General features: G+C 38.0%; 1 protein-coding gene across 2 annotated transcripts in view; it reads right to left on the reverse strand.

Moving 5' to 3' along the window:
- The window catches only part of RLIM (ring finger protein, LIM domain interacting), a 31649-nt gene that overhangs the window by 15703 nt on the left and 703 nt on the right, over window positions 1–15243 (reverse strand). Inside the window, exon 2 of one of the 2 annotated variants that reach the window (NM_183353.3) lies at window positions 13904–13965. The exons of the other annotated variant lie outside the window; for it this stretch is intronic. The gene's annotated coding sequence lies outside the window, so the exon portion shown is untranslated. The remainder of the gene's footprint in view (window positions 1–13903; window positions 13966–15243) is intronic. 2 annotated transcript variants of the gene reach the window in all.

Genomic DNA, 15243 nt, shown 5'->3' on the forward strand with positions numbered 1-15243 from the left:
TGAGGCAGGAGAATGGCATGAACCTGGGAGGCGGAGCTTGCAGTGAGCAGAGATCGCGCCACTGCACTCCTGCCTGTGCGACACAGTGAGACTCTGTTTCAAAAAAAAAAAAAAAAAGATAAAAATCTAACAAAATTCTATATATGCTTCACTAAAATCATACACTTGTGGATTGCTTAAGATAGCAATACCTATATGTATGAAAAGATATTTTCAAAGATTAAATATTTAAGTCAGCAATAAATGGACATTTGCAAATGACTAATAAGGAATACTAGCTATGAATCCCAATTAAGCAAAATGTTACCCTCAAAAGAGTATCATTCTTCTCATTAGTAAACCTATCTCACGAAACACTGTACTCAATTATTGTTATTACATTTTGAGTTTTATCAGGAAAAACTGTGAGAATTTGGTTTCTCTCTTTTGTGTGACAATATGCTCAATTTTGCTTTTTGATCTGCAAAGCCTAAAATATTATACTATCTGGCCTTTTAAAGAAAAAGGATGCCAACTCCTGTTCTAGGTAATACATAAACTTAGCCAAAAATTCTTGTCATTCACTATTTGTACGAGTTTAAGGAAACCAGAATATTGGCAGACATTCCACACATACTCATCAATGAACTGCACACTAATAAAAAACAATGGTAGTCAACAATCTAAAATACAGGGAGACTACAAACAAAAATGTTCATCCTCTAATTCTTTACCTTACAACCCCAGATTCCCCTTATGTTCCCCACGAACACAACTAAATTCCATGAACATATGTGCTACTGACCAAATGTTTGTCCCCCTCAAATTCACATGTTGAAATCCTAAATCCCAAGGTGAATATATTAGGAGGTAGGGCCTTTGGTCATAAGGGTGGGGCCCTCATGAATGAGATTAACGCTTTTATAAAATAGTCCCCAGAGAGTTCCTTTGTCCTTTTGCCATGTGAGGTTAAAGTGAGAAGACAGCTGTCTATGAGGAATTGGGCCCTCAACATATATCAAACCTGCTGGCACCCTGATCTTGGATTTTCTAGTCTCCAGAACTGTGAAAGATATGTTTTTGTTGTTTATAAGCCACCCAGTTTATGATATTCTATTACAGCAGCCTGAACAGACTAGGACAATACGAAAAAATTTATGGAAAAAGGGTAGTCTATATTGGTACTATGACTTAATCCCACATACACCCACACACAACACCTGAAGTGCCGGAATGTTCACAATTCAATCCTAGAGAGAAAAATAAGTCAAGTCTTACTCCAGATATAAAAACACAAAGAAGCCTGTCTTGTCAAACCTTGCCTGCTTGCTAAGCCTAAATAAATTTTAGTCTAGACAGAGGCATACCTAGATCTCCACTGTTTTCCTTAGATCATTATTTTTAGAACTATCCTATCTTGTTTAATTAAGATGAGTATGTCAAGAAATGTGGTGGTGGGGGGGAGATCATAATATTTTTGGAGTTTCTTAATCTCATAACTGAGATTGCTTAACTGTAATAAGATTATACTACATAAACTTCTGACAAATGGTTACTTTATAATACTTGAAACTTTGACACTAGAAATCACCAGCTTAAATAAAACACGCACAAAAAACAGGCACTAAAAAAATACAAAACAAAACAAAACAAAAAAAAACCCTGAAAAGGAAGCCAAGTTTTCCCACATGAATCTCAAGTAATACAACTTGGTATTAGAAGTGGTAAAGGCAGCCGATTTTTAAAAATATAGAAAAGCACAAAGGAAAAAAAAAGTCAGCCATAATTTCTCAAATTTGCTAAGAACATTTAACTAATGTTCTTAATAAAGCGGTTAGTAGTTTGAACGCTAATGCATGAAAGTTAAGACAAAATTCACTTGTGTAGGATAGGTAAATTGTTCTGAAAACAACTGCAGGGTTAAAAGGCTTGAAAAATATAAATCTTCCAAAGAAGGCAAAGATATCTGGTTAAGTTCTGACATTTGAAGGACATGAACCAAATAAAAGAGAAAACTCACATGCCAAAGACATTTACAGCAGTGGCACAAACTCTTTAACAATAGTATCGGGGGCTGGGTGCAGTGGCTCACACCTGTAATCCCAGCACTCTGGGAGGCGGAGGCAGGTGGATCACCTAAGGTCAGGAGTTTGAGACCAGCCTGGTCAACATGGTGAAACCCCATCTCTACTTAAAAAAAAAAAAAAAAAAAAAGAGCTTGGCGTGGTGGCCCATGCGTGTAATCCCAGCTACTTGGGAGGGAGGCTGAGGCAGGAGAATCACTTGAACCTGGGAGATGGGGGTTGCAGTGAGCCGAGATCGTGCCACTGCACCCCAGCCTGGGTGACAAGAATGAAACTCCGTCTCAAAGGAAAAAAAAAAGTTATCAGGGAGGTAAAAGCCCAGAAGGAACAGAAACTTACAAAAATATGGGAAAGATTTAAAACACTGAATGTGAAGCAAGAAAGGGGTCTTGTACTGAGTATGGAGGGGGGTGTATCAGGTATATTAACAGAAGACGGAAGAGTCACTCAACTTCCATTTTGTTTCTATTTTATTCAACAATGAGAATCATCTTCTAACTGGAAAGAGTGGAAAAAACAACTTTTCAAAGAAAATCAAAAGCCAAGAATGCGTAATTTCTAATGACAATCTTTTGAGATGTCATAGAGAACAGGAGAGATGCTAAATGATCCAATCTTCAAAAAAAGTGAGATCTACAAACTACAGAGCAGTAAAATGTGACAATACATCTAGGGGAAAATTCTGCAAATACATTATCAGATAAACTGCAAACATGTAGAAGACAGTATGTTCACAAGAAGTGGAGTTCACTGCTGGTCAACTTAAAAAAATACAAACCCCCCCCCAAAAAGATTAACCTTATTTAACCTTATTTGCTTCACATAGGGATGGTTCTAAACCTTGGCTTGCACATTAGAATTACTTGGGGAGCTTTCTCTGGGGTTGGTCAGACATGGATATTTTTTAAATTCCACAGGTAATTCTATTTTGAAAGTCAGGGTTGAGAACCTCTTTGATAGGGACATCAGGATAACACTGCTGACTTACTGACTTGATTTCTGCACAGGATCTGAGGTTTTTCTTCCTATTAAGAAGAAATATAGACCAGTGTAATAGGAATTATCTGGAAATCTTGTTAAAATACAGATTCTGATTCAGTAGATTGGGGTAGGGCCTGAGATTCTGCATTTTTATTAAGCCTCCAGGTGATGTTGATGCTGAACCTAGAATCATACTCTGAGTAGTAAGGAGCTTGATGACAATACAGTTAAACAGATTCACAGTTGTTGAACACCACCCTCAAAGATTACAAAGCAATGTTAACTTGCAAACAGCCCTGTAAACTTTAGCATTTTTAAATGAACCAGTTGGATGAATCCACCCAAGACATGGTAAACAAATCCATAAACAACTCGAAGCTGTGAGTTAGCACAGAAGATGTATATAATAAATATTATTCTGAATTATCAGTGGATTCCTAGGATGGGCTGAAATAAAAACAATGGTAAATATCCTACCTCGGACACTTTATGAAGGGCTATCAAGCTAAAATAACCCATAGTAAAAGTACACAGTCGGGGAAGAACCTGTCTTGGCAATTCACATGAAAGATACCTCAAGTTTTTGGCTAACACAAGCTCAATAAAAAGCCTGTTTGACCTGGCTATGAAACCTACGAGAATCACAAGTTGCTTTCATAGACCACGGTGTTCAAATAAAAGCAGGTAACAGCCCCACTGAAACCTGCTGTTCATAGTACATGTAGAAGGCCGGACACGGTGGCTCACACCTGTAATCCCAGCACTTTGGGATGCCGAGTTGGGCGGATCATTTGAGGTCAGAAGTTTGAGACTAGCCTGACTAACATGGCAAAACCCCGTCTCTACTAAAAAAAATACAAAAAAATTATCTGGGCGTGGTGGCGCATGCCTGTAGTCCCAGCTACTCGGGAGGTTGAGGCAGGAGAATGGCATGAACCTGGGAGGCAGAGGCTGCTGTGAGCCAAGACTGCATCACTGCACTCCAGCCTGGGAGATCCCGTCTCAAAAACAAAAGCAGACTACATGTAGAGTAAGTGAAACACGAGTGAGAAGCCTGGGAGCATCATAAAAGAAATGGATGAATTACCTGGAGGTAGTTAGCCTGGAGAAAGACTAAAAATGGACACAATTACCATCTTCAAATATTTAGAGAGGAATAACATGAAGGAGAGCACAACCATAGGGTTAAATTAAGGTCAATAGTTAAAGACATGCAGAAGCAAATAATTCTTCCTTTTAGTAAAACAATCTAACAAAATTGTCAAAAAAATAGAGATGCTACCAGTCTCTTGAAGCAAGCAAACTTCCTGTCTCCTGAGATAATCAAGCAGAAGCTGGATATTAAAAAGAGGATTCCTTATTAGGTGAGAGCCAGAAGAGACTGATTCCAAAAGACCATTTGGACTAAAATGCTATTAAGGGTAGTGAAGTCTCTTGGTCTTCTATTCTGGGCTTAGGGTCATAGTAAGCTACATACTCCAGTGACACAAAATTACAACATTTTCTTGGCAACACCAATCCACTTAGGTTACCTCTACCCCATACTCCCCTCCCCCAACATACCTTGTGCTTTACCACCGTCACAATGTACTGCTATTCCCCTCAGTCCCCTCTTAGCTTCTCCCTATTTCACCAACCCTTAAAGATCCAACGAGATCTTCCCTCCTAAGGAGCTATTACTATCTCAGCTAGCAATTTTTCCATCCATCTCTGCATATAGCACTTGTCTATGCTACTAGAGTGGCACTTCCTGCCTTCCATAATGTTTTATATTTTTGAAGTGTATGTGTCTTCTCTTCCCAAATAGATTTCTTTTAGGGAACAAACCAGAATTACAGTCCCTTTAAAACTTCTGCCAAATGCCACTAGCACAATGCCTTGCACATTGTGGATATTTAAATGACTGAAAGAAATCCAATGTGAACACTGAGTTCATTTCCCTTAGTAATCTCTCTGAAACAGCACAGTCCAAAAGAGATACAATTTGAACCATATATGTAATTTTTCAAAATGCCAAGCAGCTGCACTAAGAGTAAAAACATGTGAAATTAATCTTAGTAATGTATCTTATTGACTCAACATAATCAAAAAAAATCATTTCAGCTGACTGACCACGGTGGCTCATGCCTGTAATCCCAGCACTTTGGGAGGCCGAGGTGGGCGGATCACAAGGTCAGGAGTTCTGAGACCAGACTGGCCAACATAGTGAAACCCCGTCTCTACTAAAAATACAAAAATTAGCCGGACGTGGTAGCAGGCACCCATAGTCCCAGCTACTCCTAGTCAGGAGGTTGAGGCAGGAGAATTGCTTGAACCCAGGAGGCGGAGGTTGCAGTAAGCTGAGATCAAGCCACTGCACTCCAGCCTGGGCGACAGAGTAGACTCTGTCTCAAAAAAAAAAAAAATCATTTCAACATAAAAAAAAATTTAGATGTTTTACATTAAAAAATACTGTTTTTGAAACCTGGTGTGTGTTTTACACTTACAGCCTATCACAAGTTGGATGCTAAATTTTCGACAGATAAAATGGAATGTAGTTCAGCAAAACAATACAGTTGTGTTTAGTGGAAAAACATTTTACACTACTTCAGTTTTTTAAGCTTAAAATAAAAAAAAAACTTAAAATTTCAGTTTCACTAGTCTTATTTCAAGTGTCTAACAGTCACATAGTGGTTAATGGCTACCATATTGGGCAGCACAGCTTTAAAGTATTTCTTTGTAAGATAGAGAAATCCCAAATAGGGAGAGTTTCAAATGTCCCCAATATATTTTTCATGCTCTACAAACCCACTATTTGCATCCCCTTTATGTTTTCCAAAAATAAAACAATAAGGTTCAATACTCTACAATGTTCAATACTCATGGGATAGATAAGTCTTTCCTATGCTCATGAATCTTCAAGATTCATTCTTGACCTTTTAGAATTTCTACCATTTCCTACATAGAAACTAGAGACAAAACATTTTACCTCCATTCAAAATTTTCCTGACACTGATTTCAGAGATTTTTGAATCCTAAACAGCTCCTGCTTGATGAGCTTGGATTCCGTTCCATGAAAGAGGGAATTCTAAATTTTATTTAATTCAAAATTTTAATGAGACACACTCATAAAGCAACATGTGAACAAATCCAAATCACTACCTCTTCAATAATAATAATATGCTGCTGTCTCCTTTCCTGCTACCCTTCCATATATATGCCAGAGACAATCAAGGAAAATATTTTCCCCATGATACTCCTGCAACACACTTATTTCAAAGCCTCCATCCTTTCTGCCTTAACTTAGCATTTCCCCTGGGCTGGAATTGGGGGTCAAGAGATTTCAGCACTGGCAAGGCACTCCCTCCCTTATAAGGGAATTCAAAGAGTAAGCTATGGCTACAATACCTGCAGAGGTCCCCTGGACTAGACATAATTACATTTGCAAAGAAAATGGAAATCAAGGCAATGCTCTCAAATGCCTTGTAAACTAATTTTACTCTCACACACCCAATGAGCCTGGTCTTATTTTAAGCAGACCTTCACTATCTAAGCGGCATAAAAGAAAGAAATGGAATAAATCTAAAAACCACAAGTTCTGCCCCAGGTAGATATAATCTGCCACTATTGTTTACTAAGTGCAAACAAACATTTTAAAGTTTAGGCATGCCAAAAATACCAGAAAACCATACTCCAAATGATCAAATACAGCTCTATCTCCATTTTGGGTGTGAAAATATTAGTGAAGAATAACATTAACAAAACAGGTCTCCAGATTCTACTTTGCAGTGAGTAACATTGTGGTACATTTCTAGCTTAAGTAGCAAGAGGAAAAAGAGAATCCTTATACACCGCTGGGATCTTTCAACATCATCGTAAAAGAGAAGGTCATAAATCCATTTCTTTAGTTATCTCAGATAAGTCAGAAATTCTGACTTCAGCATATGATTAGCATCAGCTGTTTTTCTATGAAAAGATTACCCGTGAAACATACAGTAATTTAAACAATGAAATATAACTGTTTTGAAGTCACTTAGGTCTCTCTCTGGCTATAAGCAATACTCATCACCCTGTATTTACATAGCCCTTACACCTGTATTTCATTTAATCTTCACAATAATCCCATGAATTAGGAATCACCACCTCTACAGGTGACAAACAGAAGCACAGAGAAAGAAAGTGATTTACCAAAAACCATGTGACTAGTAAGTGGGAAAGGGCCAGTAATTAAATCCAGGTCTCTGCATTCCAAATCCAGTCAACTTTTCACTAAGACAACTGCCTCCCAACATATCCCAAGACTCTATACTTTAAAACACATTCCTTCCTTCAATCCCAATAGGTATGACTAAACTATTCAATCTATGAGCTTTTTATACCATGTTCACTCCCTGTATGAAAAATTCCAAAATGACAAAACACCTTTTGTAAGCAGCACAAACCTAGATGGACTTATTTTTAAATAAGTCAACTTTTAGTAATTTTTAAAAATACAGTTGCTCCTTAGATAAACAGCATATTTTATTAACCTTATTTCTTTTAGAGTACTGTGTGCCAATATATCCAAATCCATTCCTGGAAACAAGAAACCAAATGAGAAATTTTGCCCAATCGTTTCAAAGAGCTACTCATCTGGTCAATGAATGGGACTGTATCCAGTAAGTTTAATTCTGGGGAGGAAAGGCCAGCAAGAACACCAACCCTGAGATTTATTTAAAACAGATTTTATTCACTTTGAGAATTTTAAAGTATTGTTAATAATCTCAACTTCTTCTAGTCATTATTATATATTAATATAAATTATGCAAATGACTGTTTCTGATTACTGCTAAATGTAGTATCTCATTTAATTCTTCTAATCCATGCACACCAAACTTTTAAAAAATTTAATTGTTATAATGTTAAGGCAAAAAGTTATTTAAAACATATTGTTCAGTACTAACAGGTCAGGAGACCTGGTGCTAAGTATAAACACAGGCATGTTATATTTGATGGACACACTACATTATAGTACCCAATTAAGGAGACTTAAGGCATCCAAAAATACTGTTAATAAAACAGACCTTACAAAACTAAATTCTGAAACACCAAGTGAAATGCCTGTGTAAAAACCAATTTTAAAAAGTGAGTCATCTTGGCTGGGCATGGTGCTGGCCGAGTGTGGTGGCCGACATCTGTAATCCTAGCACTTTGGGAGGTCGAGGTCGGCGGATCGCTTGAGCCCGGGAGTTCAAAACCAGCCTGGGCAACATGGTGAAACCGTTTCTACCAAAGACACAAAAACTTAGCTGGGCATGGTAACGCGCATCTGTGGTCCTAGCTACTTGGGAGCTGATGTGGCTGAGGTGGGAGGATCACTTGAGTTTGGGGGCAGAGGTTGCAGTGAACTCAGATCACGTCACAGCAGTCTAGTCTGGGTGACAGAGACTCCATATCAAAATTTAAAAAGTCATATGGAAGAAATTACCTCGTTTTTTAAAAAAAGTGGGGTGGGTGGGAGGGAGGAATTAAGGTAACGTAACATCAACTAACTACTAAATCATGTTGAATATTTCACCTTGTGCATATGTGTTCATTCAAGCTCCAAATTCTATAATAAAGTTCTAAAGCAGGACATGCCAATTTTTAAAAAATTATGGGTATGAACACAAAAATGTGTCACACTGACAAGAGAAGGGCAATCCATTTTGTTTGCAACAGAGCTTCATCAAGAATCTCATAAAGGAGGCTGAGTACAGTGGCTCATGCCTGTAATCCCAACACTTCGGGAGGCCGACGCGGGCGGATCACCTGAGGTCAGGAGTTCAAGAGCAGTCTGGCCAACATGGTGAAACCCTGTCTCTACAAAAATACAAAAATTTGCCAGGCATGATGGCAGGTGCCTGTAATCCCAGCTACTCAGGAGGCTGAGGTGGGAGAATTGCTTGAACCTGGGAGGTGGAGGTTGCAGTGAGCAGAGATCGTGCCATTGCACTCCAGCCTGGGTGACAGAGCGAGACTCCGTCTCAAAACAAACAAACAAAAAACCACACACCAAAAACACACACACACAAAAAAAACAAAAAAGAACTTCATAAAGGAGTCCTTTAAGAACTAGTGACATGTGATCTGTGTCAATGAAGAAAATGTTAAATACCATCACCAAAATGAAAAATACTTTATTCAGTTTTTTAAAAGTTAAATCACAAAGAACTGCTGAATTTAAGGCCAGAAAACAAAAAGTACCATCATATCATTACGTATGTAGGCACCAAAAGTGTTGGGGATTCTTCATATATAGAATGTTTAATTAAAATGTTATGGTATTTGTAACAGAAAAATATTTGCTAACAACCAGGTATCTTTTTTTATTCTACACATGGGTAGCAGGGTGAAACTCAGCTCTGTGAAAGGAAAAAAGAGATACTGAAATCCAGTCTTGGTTGTAACTTGGTTATGTGGATTTGGCCAATTCATTTAACCTCTTGTGCCAGAGAAGTCTCCATCAATATTAGAGTATTGGATTAAACCATCTGCAAGGTACTTTCCAGTTCTATGAATCTGTAACTGTAAATAAGATATAACCTACACCACATTACGATATTAAGAAATATTAAGTTTAGGAAACAGCACAAATAACTAGGACATAAGCTTATAAGCTCTGCTTTTCTCACTACCATTTCACTCAATGTACTTCTATCTCCACTCACGCAGTTATCTTTTTGAAAAGAAATATAAAGCATTCCTAAAAAAAAAAAAAAAAAAGAACAGGCAGGGTTAATGTCTCACTGACTTTCCTTATTGCATGATACCTCTCACCAACTAAAAAATTTGTTGATAATTTCCAAGAGTGGCCTATCAGAAAATGCTACCAAGGTATCCCCCACTGCTCATGCTACCATAACAATAAGAGATTATAAAATATCTGAATGGCAGTTAGCTTAGCCTCCACTTACATTCTTCTATCTTTACCAGTTGAAAAGGACAGCAGAGAAAAACTAAAAGGACTCAGGAATGTTCCTCATGTACGCACCGACTTGCAGCTCAAACAACTTTTACTAAAACGCTCTAAAACAGTTAAAACTGAAAGAGTGTTAAGAACTTCAGTAAATCAAAGGACTGAAGACCATGCCAAATGCGGTTGATCTACAGGATCAAGTTAGTTAAAAAAGGAAACCATTATGACATTTCATCTCAGTCAAATACTTTAATCTAGACAGTGAATTTAATCTTCAATTACCCGTTTTATGTTCTTTTATTATCAAGCTATGCCACTAAATTATAATTTGGTCTTATCCATAAACTCGTTTTGACTTGCTTCTCTCATTATTCCTAAGAAGTCAAAAAGAAAATGACTCAAAAACCCAAGGAGTGCATGTGTTTAAGTTACTAAGGTAAAAATCACTGATAACTGACAATGTTGGTGTTCATCAGTAACTAAGGCACTATTTTAAGGACCTAAGATTTTTCCATCAAAAATCAGGTTTTTAAAGATTGAAGCCAATTTTTAAAATTAAAATCACTTAGCCGGGTGCGGTGGCTCACGCCTGTAATCCCAGCACTTTGGGAGGCCGAGACGGGCAGATCACAAGGTCAAGAGATCAAGACCATCCTGGCTAACACAGTGAAACCCCGTCTCTACTAAAAATAGAAAAAAATTAGCCAGGCGTAGTGGTGGGCGCCTGTAGTCCCAGCTACTCGGGAGGCTGAAGCAGGAGAATGGCGTGAACCCGGGAGGCAGAGCTTGCAGTGAGCCGAGATCGCGCCACTGCACTCCAGCCTGGGCGACAGAGCGAGACTCCGTTTCAAAAAAAAAAAAAAAAAAAAAAAAAAAAAATTAAAATCACTTAACTAAAAAAGAAAGTATTATCTATACCAATCAGTTATTTGAGGAAGTAATTTTGTATTTAAGACCAACCATGCTGACAATTGTCCTTCCTGAACTAGTATACCTACATAAAAATAACATGAAGAGGGTGACAATATATCTTTGGTTTGTCCAGAAGAGTAAGGGTTTACACTTGTACTGAAGTAATCAGTAATATGGCTCTCCCTTTCACTCTCAAAAGTGTCCCAGTTTAGATAATTCATATGGTCTCCTTAGTTATAATCAGCACTAAAGGGATCATTGGTCAATAAAAAACAAAAGTTGTAGTTAACACTTTTCCTCCTATAGTCAAGGGGAGATCAGAAGGGACCTTTTGTCATTCCAGAAAAAAATTTTAAACATCAAACACAAATACTTCCTTTCTCCCAGGAAGTAACATGTTCATCATCATGGAAACGCCATTAGACTCTCAAATGTTATAAAAGCAAACCAACCTGTAGTTGCAAAATTATTGCAAGAAATCCACCAATCTATGTAATGCACCAAGTGCTCTCTGCCTACAGATTATTTGTCTCACAGATATGTAGGTGCTACTGTGACTAATGAAATTAAACTCTTGGATTGGTGGCCAGGCGCGGTGGCTCAGGCCTGTAATCCCTGTACTTTGGGAGGCCAAGGCGGGCGGATCACCTGAGGTCAGGGGTTCAAGACCAGCTTGGCCAACATGGTGAAACTCCATCTCTAGTAAAAATACAAAAGTTAGCCAGGCGTGGTGGCACGTGCCTGTAATCCCAGCTACTCGGGAGGCTGAGGCAGGAGAACCGCTTGAACCCAGGAGGCGGAGGTTGCAGTGAGCCAAGATCGTGCCACCGCACTCCAGCCTGGGCGACAGAGCAAAACTCGTCCTGCCCTCCTAACCAAAAAACAAACAAACAAACAAACAAACAAACAAAAAAAACCAAAAAAAAAAAACCCTTGTGTTGGAACATTAAAATATAAGAAAATCTAGAGCAAAAATACCAACTATATATGTCAGGAGAAAAACCACAAGTTCATAAATATATTCCCCCAATTGAGGTATATTTAAAAAATACCTCAATTGGCCAGTCGCGGTGGCTCACGTCTGTAATCCCAGCACTTTGGGAGGCCAAGGTGGGCAGATCACAAGGTCAGGAGTTCGAGACCAGCCTGGCCAATATGGTGAAACCCCATCTTTACTAAAAATACAAAAATTAGCCAGGCGTGGTGGAGAGCGCCTGTACTCCCAGCTACTTGGGAGGCTGAGGTAAGAGAATTGCTTGAAACCAGGAGGTGGAGGTTGCAGTGAGCCGAGAGTGCACCACTGCATTCCAGCCTGGGCGACAGAGTGAGACTCCGTCTCAAAAAAATAAAAAAATAAAAAATAAATAAATAAAAATACCTCAATTGATAAAAAGAGAAATGAATTGCTGGATTATCTGGGAAACTTTCATGTTTGAGGCTGAGAAAAAAAAATGAAAGAAAAATAGATACAGAAGTGTTATTACTTTCTTATATTGGACATCAGAACTTCAATTTATTATGTAAACTAGATACTTTCTGAAATCAATGGGCCATAGGTTTTAGAAATCTTTGTGTTAAAGAAAAACCTGTCCAGTTCTAGGCAGTGGCACAAAATTCTAGGCCCTCATTGGTTTGGGTTTGACAGAAGACTTTTTATTCTCTAATTTGTCATCCACTCTATGGTAAATGAAGAGAACAGGAGGCTGGCTGGTGATTTGCTCTATTTCTAATCCACCATGGCCATGGAAAAATTAATGTACATATAATATAATTCCATAAATGCAGATGCCTCATTTGACCTACTACTATATTAAGGCTCACTACATGTTCACTAACCTCAAAGATATCCAACCAGCCTAGTATTTCCAGATCATTTAATTATTAAGCTATTTCTTAAAATCATTTCTGATTTTAAATTAAGTTTATCAAATGATATACAAGGAGCTATCCATTTAACATCTATCAATGAGCCCATCCAATTACAGGGCCTGTGAAATAGAACAATAAATATGTGTAAACATGCATAATAGCTGAAACAGGAACGTAACAGACGAAAAGGGGGGATTGCTGGATAACCTTTAAGTATTAACAAAAGTTTCTGATGCAACATAACCTACAGACTTTTTACTACAACCTTTCATTTTCATTGCATTTCCTATCTAATTAGACAGCAATCAAACCCAGAAGTATAACGTCAGACAGGCCTGGGATAAAATGAGGGCTCCACCACTTAAAGCTATTTAACTGAGGACAAATTATACTTAACCTCTTTGGGTTTTTGGTTTCCTCTATAAAAGTTAACATTCTCATGAGGCTCTGTTGTGAGAATTATAAAATAATGCATATAAAGCACATGGCCTAGCACCACAGGCCTTCAGCAGAAGTTGGTTATGAATTTAGGCTAAGTATCCATCCCAGTTTGTCGGGGACAATCAAGGTTTGCACCTGCTGTCCAGGAATTATTAATGTTCCTTTTGTTCTTAAAAGTGTCTTGGTTAGGCAATAAATTATGTGGTTACCCTAATGATGATGATAATAATAATGAAAGGAGTCAATATCAATTAAAAGTATCATGTATCAATTATGAATTTTTGAATCTTAAAGGAAAAAAATCAACCACCACACACAAAGTAACGTAAAATTATACTCTCGTAAGCTATTCTGATATTTCATTTAGTTATCCAATGAACATTTAAATGTTATTTTACTTATACTCATGCCATTCCAACAATGATATAAGACAACAAATTTTTTGTTGTTGTTGTTCTATACAGGTATTGGTAAACTTCAGACATTATTTTAAAGAGTCAAATTCACAGATAAAGCACTGGTGAGTTCCAGGTATCCAGAAACATTACCCTTTTAATTCCCAGTGAAAAGTACCCATTCTTATCATGAAGAATACCCAACACCATCTAACATCTATCAATGAGCCCATCCAATTACAGGGCCTGCAAAATAGAACAATAAATATTTGTAAACATGCATTCTACACATAAATCATCAGGAGACGCAACAAAAAATAAATTACCTGACTGTTATGACATAGTATTGAAATACAATAAACTGGATTTTAGTTTTCTTCACTCTGCTCTAGAAAAAAAAAGAATCCATTATTCTTCCTCTTTAAAAAGATACACATTTTCTTTGAATTAGACACAACCTAAAAAAAAAAATACAGACACACCATAACCCAACCTAATTCAATATTAGTATTAGGGCATTTGGGGAGAGCAAGAAGGTCAGAGGGGACCAGGAGTTAGATAAAAGATGTCTTCTAAGACTGAGAGACAATTTACGTTTTATTATAAGCTTGCTTAAAATAAGCCTTTCCTTATCAGACCAGTAATTATTTTCAGATTCTGATAGTCACTTTCAAGGACTTATCTGGCACATTACACTAGCCTAAGGTAGGAACTAAAGTATTAAAATTCATCAGAACATCATGGACTAAAAAAATCTTTGTAACATTTTTCAGTAAGTGGAGTGTGTCCTAAAATCAAGTTTTAAAAAGTGGATTGGTCTTTCTAGCTACCTAAGCTATATTTCTACAGTTTAGAAAAGTCATGGGGGGGGAGGGGTTATAATTGTGCCAGTCCTCCAGGGAAGATACAATGTACTTAATGGGGTGATAAGTAGTTACTCTGTCTATAATCACGAAGAATGAAAGAAATGATTAGTAGCAGTAGGTTTATTATTTCTTCCCCCTTTCAATCAGTCCAAAACACTGCGGTTAATTCTGATTCAGGAAATGCGGGCTCCTTACTTCTGGCAAAAAATCATTGTGGGGTCTTGCAAATGGAAGATGACAATCTGATACAACTGCTTCCTCTTGCCCCAAAATGAAAAAAAAAATGACCTCAATAACAAGACTGCTAGGCCTCAGATTCCCAGACTAACCTGTGGAATAAGTATGGTGAAACTGTCTAGGGAAGGAACGTGGCTGTCTCCTCCATCTTGAAATTAATCAGCATAAGGGAAAAAGGGACCGAGTATTCAGGAAGCAGAAGCCCAACCGGTTAATACTAGTTACTAAGCTATGGCATGCGTGGCAGGTACCGTCTGCAGAAGCAGAGACCCCCCTAGGCTTTTTTTTTTTTTTTTAATGGGGGAGGGATTGAGTTGTTGGTGGATTAAACACAAATTAACTTGAAAATTTGGCCCAATTCCATCCCTTATCCAGGAGAACACAACAAACACCTAACGGCTTTTCCCTCTCTTTTGCGGGGGGATCCTTCCAGTGATACCTGGCAAAGGATATGCCAGGGTTATTCGAGCAAGGGAGTAAACCACATTTGCCTCAGATCCTCAGGGAAGATGTCATCGCGGCCCCAGGGGGCGCCTAATTGGTAATACCCTGCAGAAGGGCTC

Source organism: Homo sapiens, chromosome X (genome assembly GCF_000001405.40).
Source record: "Homo sapiens chromosome X, GRCh38.p14 Primary Assembly".
Taxonomy (NCBI): domain Eukaryota; kingdom Metazoa; phylum Chordata; class Mammalia; order Primates; family Hominidae; genus Homo; species Homo sapiens.